The 23,593-nt window shown below is 41.1% G+C and overlaps 1 long non-coding RNA gene across 1 annotated transcript; it reads left to right on the forward strand.

Moving 5' to 3' along the window:
- The first annotated feature begins 698 nt into the window (after positions 1–698).
- On the forward strand, positions 699–22,232 carry LOC107984174 (uncharacterized). Its single transcript, XR_001747284.1, has 3 exons — positions 699–751; positions 1,562–1,634; positions 22,136–22,232. It is a non-coding gene; the product is annotated as an uncharacterized LOC107984174 (long non-coding RNA).
- The last annotated feature ends 1,361 nt before the right edge of the window (positions 22,233–23,593 follow it).

Raw genomic sequence — 23,593 nt, forward strand, 5'->3', positions numbered from 1 at the left:
CCTTGGCCTCCCTGAGTGCTGGGATTACAGGCATGAGCCACTGCACCTGGCCAAATCAACTTATAACAGAGAAGTCCTTAAACAGCTTTTAAGTGTAACCAAATTCAACTGACTGTGAGATTTTTTTTCCAGAGGATTTAGAAAGTAGAACCTGCTAGTAAGACCTAGTAAGACCACCCCCTCCCCCACTCCATACACACACACACACACACACACACACACACACACACACACACATATATATATATATGACATTGGAAAAGGACAATGGGAAAGAATAATCCCATTGGCTCAGGTTGTGGCACCATTTTCAGCAACAGCAAAACCATATTTGTACACACACCTTTGAAATATTCTGTTGTCAAAGGACCTCAGTAAAATGCACTATGGAAAACTCAAAATAAATATGCTATGATACGACTAAGTCTCAAAGTGTATTGAGAGTATTAGAACACTCGCTGCTTGCAGCATACAGCCTCTTCATTCTCTGACCTTGCTAACTTCCCTTCCAAGCCTTCCCTCCTCCACCACACCCAATCTACTGTTAAAAAGTATTCTGAAACCAGACTGATGGCACAAGTCCCAGCTTCAGCAACCCTCTTTGTTAACGGTATCTGTTGGCTCAGGAGTTCATGTGACCAGGCATCAGGAATAATTTCATGATAATCTAGGTTGAGTTTTCTCTTTCCCATCAATGCCAGAGAGTGAGAATGCCAGTCCCACTGATTTCAGGAGCCGGCACAGGACACAGGTCTGGGCTTTATCTCAGTAGTCAAGTTTCTTTTATTGGATTGCCTATGGGGGAAATCTCAGCTCTCAGGCATCACAATGAATGATTCTGAGAGCTTTTACTTGATCTCTAAACTTATCTGCGTATTTATGCAGATTTTGGTTCTTTTTTAAACAACCCTTTCAATTCACTAGTGACTAACAGAATAGCAATACATTTTGGCTAGGCAGAACGTGAGAAGTGAAGTTACATTTGAAAAAGAGTCTTTTCTTTTAGGACATAAAAGATAACTCTCTCAACAACTGGCAATCGTGAAACCACTTTGCCAACAACAGGGTCCCAAGGATGAGAGCCAACCTATTTTAAACATGTCTTAATTTCACTGAAATTTCAGGACTGTTTTTTTAAAACATTCAAAAGACAGAGTTTTAAAGGCAAGCGTATAAAATGTAAATTGCTTCCTCTGGTTATTGCAGAGTGAGGGGTGGTTGTTCCTATTCTTGTTTCTGAATGAGGAGAAAATGCTCATCAGTTCTGGGTGGGATGCATTAACTGGGACACACTGAATACCACAATGGTTAAGTCAGAGCTGACTTCTAAGTCCTGGCTCCATCTTTTATTAGCTGTGTGACTTTGGGTAAGTTAATCAACCTTTCTGTGTTTTATTTTTCCTCCAGTATAAATAGAGAGAAATCATAATGGCCACCTCATAGAACTCTGTCGTAAATATTTAATGAGGCTGTGTTTGTAAAGCCACCTGGTACAAGACAATTATAACATAAAATAAAAGCTCAGTAAAAGTAAAATACATGACTATTTCTTTTGTCATAGATCCGGCCTGAGGAGTCCCAGAAACCAACTTCAAGAAGACCACCAGGAGTTTAATACCAGCCTGGGCAACATGGTGAGACCCTGTCTTTACAAAAACATTAAAAAATTAACTAGGTGTGGTGGCGTACACCTGTAGTCCCAGGAGGCTGAGGTGGGAGGATCACCTGAGCCCAGGAGTGTGAGGCTGCAGTGAGCTATGATTGTGCCGCTGCACTCCAGCCTGGGTGACAGAGCAAGAACTCATCTCAAAACCAAAAACAAAAAAAGAAGAAGGCTTTAAAAAACCTTAATATGTGAGAAAAACTATTGCAGGCTCCAAACCTCAGGTCTGAACAATGGGGCATGTGCTCTGTACCCACCAATGATGCTCTCTGCAAATAAATGTTCAAGTTTAGGGAGCTCCTAGCAATAGTGGGAGAGGGAGCTTAACTCAGAACAGGACTTCTAGCTCCTTCAGCCCGGTGCAGGTCTGGCTTCGAGTAGCATCAGGAATCGACTTCTGTGTGTTCCTCACATTGGAACTCTCCAAGTTATTGGTTTGGTTCTCCATTCACAGCCTTTCAAACTGGCATTTTCCTGAGTTTTAGCTCTACCAGACCTGTGGACATGGAACCCTGGCCTTCCAGCTCTGTCTTAAAGATGGTCTCATAGTGATATTCACTCCTGGGCTGGCACTCCTTCCTTATGAGAGACCCTCTGCTACTGATTGGGGGACTGTTTTAGTTGTACAGAGAACAGGGCGTTTTGTCACTAATGACAAAGGACCAAGTGGAATATTATGAGTAAGTTATATACAAACTATCCTCTGTAAACCAATATTGCTAGTATATTTTACTTTTTAATTTTTATTTTATTTATTTATTTATTTTTGAGACAAGGTCTCCCTCTATCACCAAGGCTGGAGTGCAGTGGTGCGATCTCAACTCACTGCAACCTCTGCCTTCCGGGCTCAAGCGATACTCCTGCCTCAGCCTCTCAAGTAGCTGGGAGTAAAGTTGCGTGTCACCATGCCCGGCTAATTTTTATATCTTTTTGCAGAGACATTGTCTCCCTATGTTGCCCAGGCTGGTCTCAAACTCCTGGGCTCAAGCGATCCGCCTGGCTCGGCCTCTCAAAGTGCTGGGATTACAGGTGTGAGCCACCACACCCGGCCTAGATTTTATTTTGTTAATGCAATGTTTCTGGGAGATGCTTTCTTAAAACGCAATAAATATAAAACTACAAAAGAAAAGTCAATCTCAAAATAACTCTTTATTAGGACTTTTAGACTAGGTCAGGGAACTATTTGGATTGTAAAGGGAAATCCTAGGAGCTTACTTTTAAAAAACAGTCTTAAGTTCATACAGTGAAAAAAAGATTGTGGAAGAACAAAGTGTTCTTTTAAGTTCTGATAGAAAAAAACACATTATGCTTTGCTGAAGATCCTAAAACGGGGGGGAGATATTGATGATCTATCATCTCTGAGCATGTTTCATGGTGCTTTAAAAAGTCCCTTTTAAAGTGTGAATGTATATATATCTCCATAGAAACAATTTTATAGGATGCCCTAGAGGTTTTGAACATGTTTATACTTCTTTGCACAGAAATTCTGGTTCTAAGTTGCTCTCCTACAACAAATATTTATTGAGTGCCTACTCAAGAACTCTTGTGAAGAATTTTTCTGGGCAGTTGAGATACATCCAAGAAGAAAGACACTTAACACTGTCCTCTCTGAGCTTACATTCTAGCGGGTAGTTACAGATAAGGATGCAGATATTGAAGGAATAAATTACAGAGCACATTTGAGGGATTCGTGCTAGGGAAAAAGCAATGCAGGGAGGGGAACCAGGAATGTGGCTCAGCATGGAGCAGGTTACAGCATAAATAGGGATCTATAGCAACATTTTTAATGGCTACAAAGAATTTCATTATTTGGAAGCACCATAGTTTATTACCAATTAAATTTATTCCAAATTCATTATTATACATAAAGCTTCAATGAACATCCTTATATGTCTGCCTATCTATCTATCTATCTATCTATCTATCTATCTATCTATCTATGCCTATTTAGCTATCAATGTATTTTTTTTAAGACAAAGTCTTGCTTTGTTGCCCAGACTGGAGTGCAGTGGTGCAATCTCAGCTCACTGCAAGCTCAGCCTCCTGGGTTCAAGCTATTCTCCTGCCTCAACCTCCTGAGTAGCTGGGATTACACACCACCACACCCGCCTAATTTTTGTATTTTTAGTAGAGACAGGGTTTCACCATATTGGCCAGGCTGCTCTCGAACTCCTGACCTCAAATGATCCTCCCGCCTCAGCCTCCCAAAGTATTGGGATTAGAGGCGTGAGCCACTGGACTTAGTCTGTCTTTCTATCTATCTATCTATTTATCTATCTATCATCTATCTAATACCTGTCTGGTTGTTTTCTTAGGATAAATTTCTAAAAGTTAAATTACTAAGGCAAATTTTTAACAATTTTATTTATTTATTCTTATTTTTATTTATTTTATTTTTATTTTTGAGACAGAGTCTCACTCTGTCACCTAAGCAGGAGTGCAGGGGCATGATCTCAGCTCACTGCAACCTCTGCCTCCCAGGTTCCAGGGATCCTCCCACCTCAGCCTCCTGAGTAGCTGGGACTACTGGCAAGCCTGCTTCATTTTTTTGTTTTTGTGTTTTTTTTTTTTTTTTTTTTGTAGAGATGGGGTTTTGCCATGTTGCCCAGGCTGGGCTCGAACTCCTGGGTTCAAGTGATTCTCCTGACTTGGCCTCTCAAAGTGCTGGGACTACAGGCGTCAGCCACCATGCCAGGTCAAGTCAAATATTATAAGTTTAAGACTTATCTTAATAGTAATCAATTATAATATTAGAATTTCCCCAAATAAAAAAATATAGTTATAAGTTTTTCACCAGGAAAGAGATCACTGACATTCATTGAGTTTTTCCAACATCTTCACAAGAGCACTGATGTGTCCTACCATTTAATCTTATATTTACTTACTTTCTATTTTTAATTTGATAGATAGTTCAAACTTAGTTCTGGGTCAGACCAAGGCAAACATCCTGCCAATGGGAGATACTCAACAGCGGAATGACCACAGGTTAACTAGTCATTTGTTGGCAAAACCTTTTAAAATTCTGTTGATGAATGGCATAGAAATGATCAATTGTATTAAAGCATGGTCTTTACATTTCAGACTTTTCAGAGTGGTATGTGATGTTATGGAGAATAAGTTTCAGATTTTATAGGTTGAATCATATAAAATTGAAGGTCTTCAACTATTTTTAACCTATAAAATTGACCATTTTGTATGGGTCAATCTAGGAAATTGGAAGTTCATTGGTTGCTTATAGAAAGGTGATGGAGTAAATTCCACATAAAAATTCCTTTGGCCAATAAGGGCACCTCACCTAAGAAATAGCTCTTAAATATATTATGATATCAGATGTTACAAATATCTTTTTAATTTTTAAAAATACGCTGAATGAATTCAATTAGCAATGTTAGGTCACAGCGTGCTAACAACTTCAGAGTTAAACATAAAATCAAAATTTTAATTTGGAGGCTTTGGGGATTTGGGGGAAAGGGTGGCAGGTGGTGAGGAATAAAAGACTACACGTTAGGTACAATGTACACTGCTTGGGTGATGAGCGCACCAAATTATCAGAAATTACCACCAAAGAACTTATTCATATAACCAAACACCACTTATTCCCCAGAAACCTATTGAAATAAAAAAAAATAAATTTTTGACTGAATATGCAATAGAGAATAAGTTCTACTTATTCTATTTTATGGAATGAAGTGCTGCCCTTCCTACCAAAAAAAAATTTTTTTTTTTCTGAGATGGAGTTTCACTCTTGTTGCCCAGGCTGGAGTGCAATGGTGTGGTCCTGGTTCACTGCAACCTCCGCCTCCCAGGTTCAAGCAATTCTCCTGCCTCAGCCTCCCAAGTAGCTAGGATTACAGGTGCCCATCACCACGCCCAGCTAATTTTTGTATTTTTAGTAGAGACCGGGTTTCAGCACGTTGGCCAGGCTGGTCTTGAACTCCTGACCTCAGGAGATCTGCTTGCCTCGGCCTCCCAAAGTGCTGGGATTACAGGCATAAGCCACCACACCTGGCCCAAAAAATTGTTTTTAAAAAGAGAACAAATTCTGCTCTTCTGAAATTGAGTGAAAGTATGATGAGAGAAATTGAGTGAATGTCTCATAGAGATGCCAAGCTAGGTTTTCTGTTGTTAATTAGATCACTGAAAAATCTCATGCTATAGGATACATTTGAATAATTTTTTCTACCACAAAATGTACAGACAATAAAATAATGGAGTGGTCTACCCACTGCCAGTGTCTAAACTGAACGCTAACTGTAGCAGAAGGATGCTTGTAGCTGAAACCCAATTAAAATATCTTAAAGTATACAGACTTTTCTCTTTTTACATAACCAAAAGTCTGGATGTCTCAACACTGTCATCAAGGACTTGGGTGCTGTCACTCTTTCTACATCTTTAATGTGTTGTCCAGGTCTCTAGGTGTGGCATCTCATGATTGCCAGATAGCTTCTTAGTTCTAGGGTCATGAGCACCCCTCAAGAGTGCCTTGCTGGAGTATGTTCTCACATGCCTTTCAGATATCCCCTGGCCCCACACTTTGGAAATACAGTCAGGCGTGGTGACTCACGCCTCTAATCCCAGCACTTTGGGAGGCCAAGGCGGGCAGATCACCTGAGGTCAGGGGTTCGAGACCAGCCTGGCCAATGTGGTAAAACCCCATCTCTACTAAAAGTACAAAAATTAGCTGGGCATGTGGTGGCACCTGTAATCCCAGCTACTCAGGAGGCTGTGGCAGGAGAATTGCTAGAACCCAGGAGGCAGAGGTTGCAGTGAGTCGAGATTGCGCCATTGCACTCCAGCCTGGGCAACAGAGTGAGACTCTGCTTCCAAAAAACAAAAACAAAAACAAAAACAAAAAACCCCCGAAATACTAGAATGTTAAGGGGACCTAGAAAACTTTGATTATTGACATCACTCAACTTCATCCTTGAAGAATGAGAAAGAGCTCAGCCTCCCTGAAAGGAAGTGACTGTTTAGATAAGGATGAGCAAAACAGAGGTACTGTTAGCAAGAAAGAAATGGGGCAATGCATATTGGAGAGGGACCCTAGAGCATAGGTCTCAATGGCAAAGTCAGTAATAATTAAAATGAATCATCAAAAAAAAGGTGCAAGTGCCCTGCCTTGGATTTTCCGTAACTCAACACCTCTGGATTCAGATCTGATTTCAACTGGAATCCATGTCATGGTGTGGTCTCCCCCACATTGACTCATAACTATAAGCTGAGTTTTGGTGAAGTGAATCTAATTTTCCCTTTGATTTATTTTATGATAAGCTTTCCCCACATTTTCCTGTAGTCTGAATTTAAAACAGTTTGTAAGAGTGTGATTAAGCAATGGATCAAGTCCACAAAATATTGGGCGATATAACACTTCATCCTTCTGGAAGTGCTTTGTAACTGCAGACACTTTTCCTGACTCACTATCTGTCCTCCTTGGGTCGCCACTGTTGTTCAAACTCTGCAAATCTTTGAACTGTCTGACTCCATACTTATCATTTCTGCCCCTGCACTCTCATTCTCTTCTTTTGTCTGAGAGTGGAGAATGTCTGAGAGATTGCATCACAGTCACGTTAACCCTTGGTACTGCACAGCCTAACAGGATAAGAAAGGTTCAGTCTGGATAGGAACTAGAGCAATCAGACATCTATTCATATCTCAACGTCCTTTTGTCTGAAGGATTTTGGTTTTAGAAAATTAATTTGTGCTCTAATGTATCAACTTGGCAAGTTAGAAATCTGTAAACCAAGGTAAACAATATTTTTTGCTCTATAAAATCGTACACGTAGACACCACAGAGTGCAACTTGAAGAGTTAAAAAGTAAAACCCAGTGAGCAGCAAGCAAACTGCCTTTGCTCCCATTTGCCTTAGGGGAGAAAACTTTTCATGGTAGGGATTGCAAAACAACCAACTAAATAACTTTTACATGATTAATGGGGTGAAGGTTAGACTAAAATGTGATGTCTTCCCTCCAAAAATTAGGAAGATTTTAAAAACTCTTTCCTTTATTTAGTACAAGGAAGGCTGCAGTTTTCATTTTATTATTATTTATTTATTTACTTATTTATTTATTTTTGAGATGGAGTTTTGCTCTTGTTGCCCAGGCTGGAGTGCCAATGGCGCGATCTCTGCTCACTGCAACCTCTGCCTCCCGGGTTCAAGCGATTCTCCTGCCTCAGCCTCCTGAGTAGCTGGGATTACAGGCACGTGCCACCATGCCCAGCTAAAGTTTTTAGAAGGAAGAGTGTATTTGCTTTAGAAGAAAATGAATCTAGCCTGGCACAGTGGCTCACACCTGTAATCCCAGCAGTTTGGGAGGCCAAGGCAGGGCGATCGCTTGAGCCCAGGAGTTTGATACCAGCCTGGGCAACATGGTGAGACCCCATCTTTATAAAAAAACGCAGAAATTAGCCGGGCTTGGGGTCACACATGCCTGTAGTCCCAGCTACTTGGGAGGCTGAGGTGGGAGGATCACTTGAGCCCAGGGAGGTTGAGGCTGCAGTGAGCCATGACTGCACCACTGCACTCCAGCCTGGGATATAGAGTGAGACCTTGTCTCTAAATGAAATGAAATGAAATGAAATGAAATGAAATGAAATAAAATAAAATAAAATAAAATAAAATAAGGGAATCTCCAGAATTTCAGTATTTTAGCAGCAAATATCAGGAGTATTAGCCAAATCAATGAAAACTAGGATAAATAACATATGTTTAAATTTTAAGACAAAGTTTTGATTATGGGAATTAAGAAGTCTGTGCTACTAACATATCCTCTGTGATTATAGGAAGGCACATTAAGGTACAAACTCATATCAAAGGAGGAAATAGACAAGTATGGAACAGACATAAAGACAGTTACATAGATGAAGGAAATATTGGGATGTTGATGTAGGAAAAGAACATGGTCCAGGCCTTCTTGATGTATTTTGCAAAGGTTCATAACAAGCATGCTATGCCTTTCTATCATTTGTGGTTACTTAATAAATGGTACATAGTTCATTCTATACATGGTTCAGTTCTTCTAAACTAATTTTTTGTTCTTTATTTAAAAACAAAATTGTAAGTTTGAAAAAAAAAAAGTACAAGTCTTCCAGGGGTGCAGAAATGGGTTGAGGCAAATGATTTTTGTAGCTGAGAATCTGGACCCTCAAGTTGGCAAACAAGCTAGTTGACATCAGATTGGGTGTATACAGGGCCTGCTCTTGTTTGTTTCTGTTCCAAGGTTACACAGATGCACTTATAAACTGACCAAGTAGTGCAGAGGGAGGAGGCCCCCTTTTAAAGATCCTTTTAAAGAAACTGCTTCTATATTGATCCAATTTTTTTAAAAGTGAAGAAAGCGATTATACCTTGGCTGGGTGCAGTGGTTCACACCTGTAATCCCTATGCTTTGGGAGGCTGAAGCAGGAGGATCGCTTGAGTCCAGGAGTTCATTCAAGACCAGCTGGGGCAACATAACGAGACTTCATCTCTATAAATTTTTTTGAAAAAATATAAACAGGTGTGGTGACATGCTTCTGTAGTTCTAGTTATTCAGGAGGCTGAGGCAGGAGGATTACTTGAGCCCAGGAGTTTGAGGTTACAGTGAACTATGATTGTGCCATTGCACTCCAGCCTAGGTGGCAGAGCGATGGCCTGTCTCTAAAGAAAGAAAGAAGAAAACTGTTATACCTGTTTTTTTTTCTTGGGATCCTATGTTTGAATTCATTGCCAACATTTTCTTACCAGGTAGATATAAAGCTTTTACAAGGTTATTCATGGCTATTTGAATACATCCTTTATTTGTTTCTCTATTCCCCTGTCCATCTTCTTCAGTTACACACCCTTCTGATCTCTCTTCTGTCTTGAACCCATGAACCCATGATCCTTTGATGTCTCTCCTTGATCCATGTCCCCACTCCAGATTCCAGAAGCTCATGCTGCCCTTTCACTGATAAAATGTTCCTTTTCAATCTCAACACTGCCATTACCATCCAGACAAAATGAGAATCAAATTTGTAGGAATACAGATATGTAAAGCAGAGATTCTTGGGGAGTTAAAGGGACTTTAAAGACAAATGGCAAATGGGGCGATAACATTTCCAAGCAAAAGGTATTCTTATTATATGAAAAGTTAACACAAATTAGCAAGGATAAGATCGACAACTCAAGGAACAAGTGGGGAAAATCTCTGCCAAAAAGCAGAAAAATTCAATAAGTGTATAGTTAATACTTTCAAGCTCATTTTCAGTCAATGGAATGCAAATGAAAGAGTGACAGCATTTTTTACATATCAGAATGTCAAAGGCTGAAAAGGATTATAATTACTCATGCTGGCAAGAGTGTGATGAAATGAGCATGTCGGGGGCGGCTGTTGGGAGCCTACATGTGTACAAACTTAGCCTGGGGCATTATCAAAGCCTTCAACATGTTTCTGGTCTTTGAAGTAAGAACACTTCCAGGATTTTATCCTAAGGAAATAATTAGGGAAGCATGCAAAAACTTTTCTGTGCCGGGATGTTCTGTGCAATGTTATTTGTAATACTTGAAAAAATGGAATCATTAGCTGCACAATATTAGAAATCTAGTTAAATAATTTATTTTTATAAGAGAATCTAGTTATATAATTTATTTTATATAAAATCACATTGTCAGAGACTTCTTGATTTATGGGGCAGGATCACATTATATTAAGTGAAAATTGATGTGTTTTGTGACAGCGTGAGGTGCGAAAGGCAGAAATGGGTTTTAGAGTCAGATGACAGGTGTTTGAATTCCAACCTTTTCACTGATCGGCAAATTAACTTGGAAAAATTACTTAACCTTTCTGAATCTCAGTTTCCTCATCTGTAAAATGGGGATAATATGTTAACAGGCCTGTTGTAAGGTTTAATTAAGAGATTGTATGTAAAGTGCTTTGCCAAGGACCTAACATGTAGAAAACATTCAATAAATCAACAATGCTATTTAAGTCACCCAAATGTCACTGAGACTCATTAGGCTATCTGTAATATGTAAATGACTCTCATTAACATCAGTATCAATAAATTTATGTCCTTGCCCACCACTTGCTCACACAGGACCTCTGATGCAACTTGTAAAGTACACTCTCCTCTGAATATTTCAGGGAGGCCCCCAAGTACACCTAAATTAGTTTCTTATTTTCACCAATCAGCTTCTGCTACATTGTTTCTTGCAGATTTCAGCCATTATCACTCATTCATCTCTGTGTGTGAAATACCTATGATTAAGCAGCTCTGTGTTACCCAAATATACATTGATGCATCCTGGCCCATTTTCATGGATTTATACCTAGCTGAGGGGAAGAGAAAACAAATATTTACAAATGAATATATATATATATATATATATTGTATTGAGTGGGCTAGGCTCAGTTGTCTGGCGAGCCTAGGATTTCTGCTCCTATTTAAGTTGGGCTATTACAAAGCTGATGGGAGGGTCTGTGGCTGTTGGAGGAGCCTGTCACTGTGGGCTTCACTGTGGGAGGGTCTGCCTGAACAATAGCTGTATCTGTAAGTCTTTTCTTTTGGTCTGGTCAGATTCTGTTCTTCTATTTGGATGGCAAGTCTGGGCCTTAAAGCTGAATGTGTGAAGAAAGCTGTGGGTTTTTAACATTGAGAAGGGTTCCCCAGGTCTCAGCTGAATTTTTTTTTTTTTTTTTTTTTTTGAGACAGTCTCACTCTGTCTCCTAGGCTGGATACAGTGGCACAATTATGGCTCTCTGCAGCCTCAACCTCCCGGGTTCAGGTGATCCTCCCACCTCACAGCCTCCCGAGTAGCTGGGACCACAGGCAAGCACTGCCATGCCTGGCTAATTTTTGTATTTTTTTGTAGAGGTGGGGTCTTCGCTATGTTACCCAGGCTGGTCTTGAACTCCTGGGCTCAAGCCATCCTCCGGCCTTGGCCTCCCACAGTGTGTGAGCCATTGCCCCCTGTCCCCCAGGTCTCAAGTGATTTGATGTCCCTTCAACTTTCACTCCATGCAGAGAATAAACCTGCAGTGTTCCGCAGGATAGGAAAAAGACGGTTACTTAGCTGTATGTGATGAAAGAGGGAATCTGCTTTTGTGTCTTAACCACTTTTAACCAATTCTTATTTCAGTCTCTCCTTCACCCCCACTCCCAGAGGTACGTGGTGCTATCATTATCAGAGCCATTGTGGGGGCGTCTTCGGTGCAAATGTGGTTATCTTCATCTTTCTCAGCAGGAGCTGAGGGTTCAGCATTCTTTGGTCTTCGGAATCAATCTCCAGTCATTCTTTAACTTTTCCACATGCAAAGTTCAGTTGCTATCATCTCCTTTCCCAACCTTGTGACCCTTTAGAAAATTCCCTTCTGTCAGGCTAGGGGTGTTTTAGGAAGGAACAGAGTTAAATGTATATTTTTAATTCACTATCTTTAACCTGAAGTTTAGATCTTAAAGATTTTTGAAAAGTTGGTTGGCAGAGGTGGCTGGTGAGTTTCCAATGAGGGGGATTTTTGTTTGTTCCATTGCATATTTAACTGGAGAGGATATTCCAGAGCCTTCGATATGCCGACTCTGCCTGGTATGTTGTGATGGGACAGAGGAAAGAAAGTGTCTCTTCCCCTTCTGAATTAGGCATGTTTACAGCAATTTAGTGGGACATGTCTTTTGAGTTTTACTTACAGCTGTCACCATTGACAAAGGATTTCAGAGGAGTTGCTGGGGGATGGGGACTGAGAGAAAATTCAGGTGATAGAGATCATGATTCTGGCTCATTCTATCCGGCTACTTTTTTCCTTAGGATTTTCCAAGACTTGTATTCCTAGTTTCCCAGATTCAGTGGGTCATACTTGAATCCCCAGGATGGACACAATTTAGGCTGGGGCTGGGATTTCTGCTGCATTTATTTATTGAAAAGGAGACTTTCAGATTATTTAACTAACTCCTCCATTTTACATAAAAGCAATCTGGGGTCCAGAAAGTTTCAATGACTTAACTAAGGTCGCAACTTTGAGCAAGCAGCAGGATCTCATGACTGGAGCTACAATCAAGGAATTATAACACACATTGAAATTCCTTAAGAAAATGGTATTAAGGAAACAAGGGACATTATCTCACTACATAAGATAGGAAAGACAGGAGGAAATTTGCTTAGCCAAACCTAACTTTATAAAGGTAATACCCTGAAACGTGACCTTTGTATCCTCTCCTGTTCCTTACAACCAACAATGAAATCTTAAGACAAAATGACTCACATTTGCCAAAGGCTGAGAATTTCAGTCCCCCAATAATACTGGAAAAATGGGGGGTTAAAAAGCATCATAGTCGCTCTGGGTGCAGTGGCTGACGCCTGTAATCCCAGCACTTTGGGAGGCTGAGGTGGGCGGATCACCTGAGGTCAGGAGTTCAAGACCAGACCAGCCTGACAAAAATGGAGAAACCCCATCTCTACTAAAAGTACAAAAATTTAGCCGGGCATGGTGGCACATGCTTGTAATCCCAGCTACTCAGGAGGCTGAGGCAGGAGAATCGCTTGAACCTGGGAGGCAGAGGTTGCGGTGAGCTGAGATTGCCCCATTGCACTCCAGCCTGGGCAACAAGAGCGAAATTCCACCTCAATTAAAAAAAAAAAAGCATCATAGTTGCTTAAGCATCATAGATGCCCAAAAAGCTTCAGAGTCGAGGGTATTTAGGACTCTTCAAATCTAGTTCCCTTTGAGCTCTTCCCATCTCCTCATTCTTTCTGATCATCCATCCATGGTTATCCATTTATAGTAGCTATCCTTTATTTGCATTTCTCTGTTCATTTTCTTCCAGCAATAGCTCTCACTTTTACTGTGGAGTTCACCTCTGCTTCCTTTCAGCCCAGGCTGCCTGGGTGAGCTTGTAGTTCAGGTGCTCCTGGCCTCAGAGGTTATTTAAGAGCTGGGCATTTACTATTCCAGAGGACTCCTTGGGACTTCCACTGGGAAAGGTAGGGCCAAGAAATGAAAAGAGAGAAACTTCATGCTGCTGACTTTATTTATGCTGCTGACTTTATTTGAGCTCTGGAGCAAGCCAAATTGGAAGCCAGAATACTTGTGAATGATAATGTAACATAGATGTATTACTCGGTTTTCATGCTGCTAATAAAGACATACCCAAGACTGCGCAATTTACAAAAGAAAGAGGTTTAATGGACTCACAGTTCCACATGGCTGGGAAGGCTTCACAATCATGGCAGAAGGCAAAAGCTACGTCTCACGTGGCGGCAGGCAAGAGAAGAGAATGAGAGCCAAACGAAAAAGATTTTGCCTTATAAAACCAAGAGATCTCATGAGACTTATTCACTACCACAAAACAGTATGGGGAAACAACCCCCCTTGATTCAATTGTCTACCACTGAGTCCCTCCCACAACATGAGGGAATTATAGGAGCTACAATTCAAGATGAGATTTGGGTGGGGACACATCCAAACCATATCCATGGATTAATAAATATAACCTCTGTTTTCTTTCTTGATCCAGTGTCAACAGGGCAGAGTGGTTTGTGTCACTTGCAAGGAAATTCTAACTGTTAAATTATTAGCACAAACACGCATGCATACACACTAATGTCTTGATAATATATTACTTCTAAGGGACAATTTAGGCTGTTTGCAAATGAAGAGAGAGATTTTCCTAAATGCATAATGTCCCCAAGCCTCTGCCTGCAATGGGAACAGAGCTTTACATCATGAGACAAAATGCTGACTCCCTACTTGGTTCATCTTCCAGCTTCTGAATGTGTCCCCAGTAGCTACAAATGTGTAGGGAATGTGGCCTTTTGGTGCAGTTTTCAAGCAGAACCATCTGCTCCACCAATGGCCACCTCATGGCATTTCAAAGAGCTGACTTAAAGGTTTGAAATGATCACCTTTCTATAGGATGTCTGGTCACAATCTATACCTGGTTTTCACAGTACTTCTTTTAAGTGAAAAACCAGCCTTAGCAGAAAATGCTTATTATGCCCAGGGCCAAACAGGCTATCTACCACTGAGCCTCACAGTAGTAAGCAGTTATACTTCTAGTAGGCCTGTAGCCAAAAGTTTTCCAAAAATCTAGAATCTTAAAATCTTTAAACCCTGTTATACCTATCCCAAGTTTTTTGGGGTTCTTGGTTTTTTTGTTTGTTTTGTTTGCTTGTTTTTGTTTTTGTTTGTTTTTTGACAGAGTCTCACTCTGTCACCAGCCTAGAGTGCAGTGGTGCAATCTCAGCTCACTGCAACCTCTGCCTCCCAGGTTCAAGCAATTCTCCTGCCTCAGCCTCCCGAGTAGCTGGGATTACAGGCATCCGCCACCACACCTAGCTAATTTTTGTATTTTTAGTAGAGGCAGGGTTTTGCCATGTTGGCCAGGCTGGTCTTGAACTCCTGACCTCAAGTGATCTGCCCGCCTTGGCCTCCCAAAGTGCTGGGATTACAGGCGTGAGCCACCATGCCCGGCTATTACTGCGAATTCTTAGTTTACTTTTCTAGGAATATAACAGAAGTTAACTGACTAAGCCTTTCTCCCCGCGAGGTAAAATTGACGCAAAGGACCTGTATTTCCCTATGGCTGTGGAAATCCAAAGGTCTTGATTTGAAGCATAATTAATGCCTAAGACAATTATTCTCTGAGTGTTCCCAGAGCAGTAGCATCAGCATCGACTGGTAGCTTGTGAAAAATGTGAATTCCCGGGCCCTGCCCCAGACCTACTGAGACTGAATCTGGAAGGGTAGAGTCAGAAGTCTGTGTTTGAACAAGACTCCCTGGAATTCTAATGCAGCCAAAATTGGAGAACCACTGTCCTCAGAAACTGCAGTCCAGAAGAAGTGGGTCTTTAGCACCCCTTTTAAAGCAGATTTTTTTTCAGAGGATGGGTCTGGAGCTGCTGCAGGCACGTGCAGGTGGATGTGCGGAAGCCTCACCTGCAGGCGGGTCTCATGACATCACTGATTCAGAAGTGAAGTTAGCCTATGCCCAGATATCTTGATGATAGAAATATTACTATTGTTCATGATCAGAGCTTCCAGAGTTCAAGTGACTTAACAGTCTTCCAGACATTTTCTAGAAAACAAAGAAAAATCCAATAACTTACAAAGTTCATCAAAGTCTGAATCTAGCTATTTTCTTCAGTTCAACACTTCCTTATTGGGCATTGATTGAGTGTTACTAGTGATTTATAGCATAAGTGATTGCACTATGGAAATGATTTCCCAAGTTCCATGGCTGCAGTGGGTTAGAGACGGCGCCCTGCCTTTCAGCAGCACCTGTGAGGTAGGCGTGTTCAGATGGCTCCTTAGCATTAGCGTCATTCTCAAGGAGCAAGCTGTTGTTTCGGGTGTGTATTATTTTTGCATCTTGGAAGTAGGATGAGGGGAAATGTTAACAAATGGTATCTCCACTGGTGTTTGTTAAATTGTGAGCCTGGATCAACTTAAACCCCTTGGGCATTTCTTAAAACACAGATTCCTAGGCCCTCCTTGCTCTTTGAAAGTGCTGAGTCCGAATCTCCAGGGTTCGGTCATGGGGCTCTTCCTTTTCATAAGCATCCCACATTTCTCTTACATGCAGTACATTTGATAATCACTAATCAATGCCATCTGACTTTGCTTCTCTTTTAGATTTTGATTAGAATATACAATTTGCTTTTACCAATTGGAATTTGGTCCTCTAGAAAGAATATAAACTAGGAAATGAGACAAAGCTAGCTTCAAATCTCAGATCCAGTAGTGATCAAAGGTTAAGACTTTTGGCAAGTCGCTAAACTTCCTTGAACTTCCATTTTCTCATCATTAAATGAGATGATTGCAATACCCAGACTGCAGAAGCACTGAGAGTAGCAAATGAGAAATTGTACGCAAAGGGTGAAACACACAGCAGATATTTAACACAGAAGGGTTATCTAATAACAGTGTCTAAGGAATTCATCTGTCTTCTAGCCCTAGAAGATGCATTTTTTTTTAATCTCTTTCCAAAATACCTCTTTCGAAATGGAGTAGGAAAGGAAAGAAAGAGGGAGGGAAGAGAGAAAAAGAGAGAGGGAGAAAGAGAAGAAAAGAAGAAAGAAAGAGAGGGAGGGAAGAATGAAGGAAGAAGGAAGGAAAGTAGGTATTAAGACATCTGATCTAGGCCGGGCGCGGTGAGTCACGCCTGTAATCCCAGCACTTTGGGAGGCAGAGGCGGGTGGATCACTTGAGGTCAGGAGTTCGAGACCAGACTGGCCAATATGGTAAAACCCCGTCTCTACTAAAAATACAAAAATTAGCCAGGCATGGTGGTGGGCACCTGTAATCCCAGCTATTCAGGAGGCTGAGGCCAGAGAATCACTTGAACCTGTGAGGCGGAGGTTGCAGTGAGCTGAGATCACACCATTGCACTCCAGCCTGGGTGACGAGAGAGATTCCGTCTCAAAAAACAAAAACAAAACAAAACAAAAAACCCACAAAGATATCTTATCTAAAAATCACAATATCCCTGTGAGACAAGTGTTTTTATCATCTAGAATTTACAGAGTTGCTAAGAACCAGAAAAATACTTCCTTTACTTCCCAACCACAGGGTTTTTTCAACTCCTGGAGTAATCCTGGCTTTGATTAAATCCCCCCCTATCACATAACTGTAACAACCAGAAATCAGTGGAGGTGTGGGGTTTGTCCATACACCTCAGGGAATGTGCCTGTGAGGTTTAAACTGAGGTGACCCCGGAGTTCAATGGCTGTGGAGTGTCAGTTTCCCTGTACCAGGCCTTCCCAAACCCCAGGTTTTTGTTTGTTTTTGAAACAGAGTTTCACTCTTGTTACCCAAGCTGGAGTGCAGTGGTGTGATCTTGGCTAACTGCAACCTCTGCCTCCCGGGTTCAAACGATTCTCCTGTCTCAGCCTCCCCAGTAACTGGAATTACAGGCACCCAACACTACTCCCAGCTAATTTTTTTTTCTTTTTCTTTTACTTTTTTTTTTTTTTTAAGTGGTAGAGACGGGGTTTCACCATGTTGGCCAGGCTGGTCTCGAACTCCTGACCTCAGGTGATCCACCCGCCTCGGCCTCCCAAAATGGTGGGATTGCGGCCAAGAGCCACCATGCCTGGCCAACCCCAGGTTTTTTATGCTGCAAGAGATGACTCAGTGCTTCACCACCTCTAGCTAAATAAACCATGTTCCGATTATCATGCAAAAAGTGTGTTGTCTGAAAAAGAGACCTAAAAAAACTTTCTGCCCTTTGTGGTGGCAGAATTCCTGGTTCAACCTTAAATGGCCTTAGTTGTTCTATAGGAGTTACGGTGACTTGCTTTGTTTTGAATGTCAAACTTGATTCCAGGCTTAGATATGACAGCAGAACAAGCCCATCAAAACTTGAGTGTCTGTGTATTGCAAGAACTGGAATTGGTATTTTGGGGCCTGGAAGAGCTGAAAATCAAATCAAATGCCCAGGTCATTGATTATGTCACATGCATTGAACACTGAGAAACAGTCTTGGGAAGGATCTCGATCCTTGTTTGGAATGTCGTAATTCCATTTAGGGCAAAATACACCAACCAGTTCCCATGCAAACTTCTGCAAAGACAGCATTCACAGATGATGGAGACTTAGCAATTGAAAATGGACACAGTCAATGAAACCCAGGATTCCAGATCTTTTTTGACTTGTCCGAGAAGCAATGGAAAATAAACAATCCCAGGAAAATCTAATATTACACCAAAATTAGCAGTATCTTTTCCTTTCGGTCAATGTGCAACCAAAGCCAAGCATCTCTTCTCCCTGTGGAAAAGTCAAATAATTGCAAAAACTCCTGGAGATACTGGTTTCTTCTTAAACCAGGGCCTTTCACCAGTTTGGCTGGTCTTTTCAAAGGGCACATGGAGATTGATAATATTTCGTATGTAAGCATGGCCATAATTATGTCAGGGTGTGTGCATAATCACCCCAAAGCTAACAATTCTCATGGAGTAAATGCACTAATAGCAATGGAAGCAGACACCCTAGCAATAGAATTTTTATTGGCTCTTTCCTTCACTCAGTGTCTTGATAGAAAAACATCTGCCTAACATTTAAAACCACTAGAAGAGTGTAATTGGGTTGTTTGTAACACAAAGGATAAATGCTTGAGGGGAAGGATGCTCCATTCTCCATGATGGGCTTATTTCACATTGCATGCCTGTGTCAAAACATCTCAGGTACCCCATAAATATATACACATACTGTGTACCCACAAAAATTAAAATTTAAAAAATTTTAAAAAGAAAAACATCTGCCTAATCTCAGAGCACAGCTCCTGGTGAAACTTCTGCCTGTAGGATTTTGGCCCTGTGGCCTTATCTGTGATCCTATGACACCCACTCCCTACCACCAGCCAGTCGAGTCCTGTGGAATCTACTCTAGGAAAATGGCTTTGAGAGAATTTCCTTCTGGCTCCCTGGTCAGAGCCATGGGGAGCTAGAAGCTTCCTCCTTCCATTTGGACAGACCCTTGACAAATCATTTCTATTATTATTATTGTTGTTATTTTTAGAGATAAGGTCTCACTCTGTCACCCAGGTTGGAGTGCAGTCATGCGATCATAGCTCACTGCAGCTTCGAACTCCTGGGCTCAAGCAATCCTCCCACCTCAGGCTCCCAAGTAGCTAGACAAATCATTTCTAAGCAGGGAAGGAGTTTCTGAATGACTTAAGGGGTATTCTAGAGTGTCTCAAACCTGCCTGGAGTTACAGCAGCTGCGTGGTGAAGAGGCTGCTGAGAATTCTTGAGCATTAGGTAAAGAATGAACCTTTGCCATGTTAACATCCATTATTAAAGCCAATGGGAGGATTTATGTTTTCCAGAAATGGCTTTTTGGAAAGATTTGATGTTCAGCAGTCCTGAGCTCTAATGCACATTTGTCTTACATTAAAAAATACCATCTCAGAGAAACATCAGTCCATTACTTAAAGGAGAAACAGTATTTGAGTATTTAAAAGGCTGCGTGTGTGTGTGTGCACGTGTGTGTGTGTGTAAAAAGTTAAAATAATAGCAAATCCTTTCTGGATTTCAGAAGCCAATTGTTCAGGATATGCATTAGGCTCAGTCTTGAAAGGAGAATTTTCCTAAATGTCCTTTAGGTCTCGGCTTAAGTGTCTCTTCTCCAGACATGCACTTTCTTCTCATAGAGTCTTAACTAGACACCTGCATTAATCCTCTCTCAGCTCTATATTATTTTCTTCATACCAGATCAGAGCCTATAATTATCTTATTTGTCCTTTTAATTGTTTCCTGCTCTACCATGCAAGAAAGTTCTATGAAAATAGGAACTGCAGGCAGCCTTGTTCATAATTTTATCCCCAGTGCCTAGCAGAATGTACTTGCTGTATACAGTAGTAGGTGACCAATAAATACTTGCTGAATTAGTGATCATGATGAGACAGACATAAAAAGAGTGGCTCTGTAATAGTGTGTTAAACTCTGGAAAGAAGAACTGAAAAGGGAAAGATACCAGATAAACTGATTTCTAAGATAAAGATTAGATCAGTTCACCAATAAGAGGTAAAACTTAAATATAATATATTTATTTCAATATGATTATTTAGAATATAGGAATAGACGTGGGAGTAAAATCCTCATATTATCTCTTTGGGTGGCATATGTAGCGTTATGGAGAGATTATGGGAATATGTCTACTTCTTGTGGTACTGAAGCCATGTTAACTAGGGCATGGTGTATGTGGAGCACACAGTCAGAATGCAGGCAGTATAACATGATTGCTTTACAAACTGCCCCATCTGAGTAAGAGAGGGAGTTTCTGTTAATGAAAGGGGTTCCAGGCACAAGCAAACCATGCTGTACTTTTTAGGGCCTCTTCTGAGGAGATGTGCACTATGGAACTAAGGAAACACCATTCGTCATTAAGCCCATAGTATCCGTAGTATGTATCGGGCATCTAACACTTTTTTTTTTTTTGAAATGGAGTCTCGCTCTGTCCCCCAGGCTCAAGTGTAATAGTACGATCTCAGCTTACTGCAACCTCTACCTCCCAGGTTCAAGCGATTCTCCTGCCTCAGCCTCCCGAGTAGCTGAGATTACAGATGCGTGCCACCACGCCCAGCTAATTTTTGTATTTTTAGTAGAGATGGGGTTTCACCATGTTAATCAGGCTGGTCTCGCACTTCTGAACTTGGGATCCGCTCGCCTCGGCCTCCCAAAGTGCTGGGATTACAAGCGTGAGCAACTGCATTATGACATCTAACACTTTTATGATAATTAATCATCATGAAAATGCCAATAAGCAGGTGCTATCTCCATTTCTCAAGGTAGGGAACTGAGGGTCACTGCCATCTACCCAAGGCCACCATGGGATTAAGTGAAGGTTCTGTGACCCCAGAACTTTGACTTGACTTGTATTAAGTGGCACCAGTTGGGGGATCCATACCATTGGATTACAAGAAATAAAAAGCATCTCCACAGAATATCTGGGGTATTTGTTTTGATTTTCTTTGTTTTGAATTTTTGCAATTCTACTAGGTATTTTTGCAATTCTACTAGGTAGCCTGTGTTTTAATGCCCATTCTATCTCTAACTAGCTTAACCCCAAGAAGTAAGTTTGAAATCGAAATTTAGGGAGCCTGCAGATGGTTAGGGCACTGAACTCCCTATTTTCTAATATGTAAAATGGACACAGTCGTTCCTAGTTCACGGCACTCTCATGAGGCTGAAATTAAGACAGTGGGAACAAAAGAGTATTTTTTCCTTCCTTCTAAATAATTTTCTAAGTTAATTGGAGAAAAAACATAATTAAATTTCCATCCCTTATTCTTGGACGAGATCAAAGCTTGACTTCTGTAGTTTTAAATTTGAAAAAAGGCACTTACTGGTCTAGTGCCTATTTATTTGCACTTTCTGATTGTCTCATGAATATATGCCAGGAATTTTTTCACAGGAAAGCTGGTTTTTCCCCCTGCTGGTTGCCTCTTACAGCTAATTGTATTTAAGGGGGGAAATTAGATGTTTAGAAATGCTGATTGGCCCCGACTCATTAATAGGCCCTCCTTACTCTATTGTATCCGGTAGAAGAGTTATAAGTATGTCATTCCCTCTCCTCTCTCTTTTAAAAGACTTTTGACAAAGACCAAGCCACAAGTACATACTGCAGATCATCAAAAGCCGGCACCAATTTGGCTAATGGTGTGTACTTTGTTTTCAGATTCTCTTAATACTTTAAGCACTTAACTGGAGCCTAGGTTCATTTTGAGCTCTAGCTTGTGGTTTCCAGGCAAAAGCAGCCCATCTGACTTTTAGTGCCCTTGTCTGTGAGTTGATAAGACCGCCTGGAGTCTCTAAACTCCTTTAAGTGCTAAATGTCAAGCTGGAATTGGGTATCTCTGGCTGAACAATGTGTGTTGTTTTAAAATGACTCCTTAATATGAAGAGGTTTCCAAGTGCATTAATGTCAGGGGTATTTAAACAGTTTAATGGGGGTATCTTTAAAATGCCTTTTTGGTTGGCAACTTAATAATCTCCTTCTTGTTCAAATATTATTTTCACCACAGTACATCTGATACTCTCCGAAAGTTAAACAAGCCATTCAGGAAAATGGGATTGAGTTATGACAAGCTGAACAGAAGCCCTGAAAGGTCGTGGGCTCATTTCTTCATTTATGAGAATGAAGGTAAGATGTCCCTTCTCACCTCTTTTTGTCAGTCCTGCATAGGAGATAGTGAGGAATTTTACCTGTAGATTAACAGGAAAATGACTTGCATCCAATTGCATCTGTGAGGCAAGACTTTGAATATATAAAGAGCAATGTTTGCATACAATTTATTTTTTTCTCTACCTAATGCTCTGGAAATAAGGAGCTGGAGGAGTTGTTATCTGTGTGAGAGTGGAACATTTGATGCAGAAAAATACATATTGTATTAGTCTGTTCTCAGGCTGCTAATAAAGACTACCCAAGACTGGGTAATTTATAAAGGAAAGAGGTTTAATGGCCTCACAGTTGCACATGGCTTAGGAGGCCTCACAATTATGGTGGAAGAGCAAGGAACGTCTTACATGGCAGCAGGCAAGACAGAGAATGAGAACCAAGTGAAAGGAGTTTCTCCTTATAAAACCATCAGACCTCATGAGACTTATTCACTACCATGAGAATAGTATGAGGGAGACAGCCCCCATGATTCAATTATCTCTCACCGACTCCCTCCCACAACACATGGGAATTATGGGAGCTACAATTCAAGATGAGATTTGGGTGGGGACACAGCCAAACAATATTACATATAACAATTAAGCTGTGAAGCAGAGAGGAGCCTGGGAACACCTCTGCTCCTGAAGTTTCCAAGATGTTCAGGGAAGAGCTACAGCCCTTCCCAGACCTGCCCTGCCCAGACCGGAGCCACCAACATGTGAAGCAAAGCTGCAGCCACCATCTGACCTCTCTCCAGCCCCAGGAATCACCTTACCTACCCCCAAAATATGTGTTCCTTCTCAGTATTCCCTTGAGCTGTATTCATTCTCCAGCACTCAGAGACTCCTATTATTTTTACTCACTGGCTTCAAAAAGTCTCTAATTATAGAAGAAGGACTGTGATAATAAGATCAGATTATCAGAATCTAAGACCTATCATTAATATAGTAATGTCATCCACAAGTGTTTTAATTCTGAACTTAAACTAAAAATAAATTTCAGGTCGGGCACAGTGGCTCACACCTGTGATTTCAGCACTCTGGGAGATCGAGGCAGGAAAATGGCTTGAAGCCAGGAGTTTGAGACCAGCCTGGGCAACATAATGAGACCTCTTCTCTGCAAACAAAATTTAAAAATTAGCTGGGCATGGTGGTGGTGTGTGCCAGTAGTACCAACTACTCGGGAGTCTAAGACGGGAGAATTGCTTGAGCCCAGGAGGTCAAGGCTGCAGTGAGCTGTGATGGCACCACTGCACTCTGGCCTAGGCAACAGAGAGCGACCCTATCTTAAATAAAATAAATAAATACATAAATTTCATATATAT

This window comes from Homo sapiens, chromosome 10 (genome assembly GCF_000001405.40).
Source record: "Homo sapiens chromosome 10, GRCh38.p14 Primary Assembly".
NCBI lineage: Eukaryota > Metazoa > Chordata > Mammalia > Primates > Hominidae > Homo > Homo sapiens.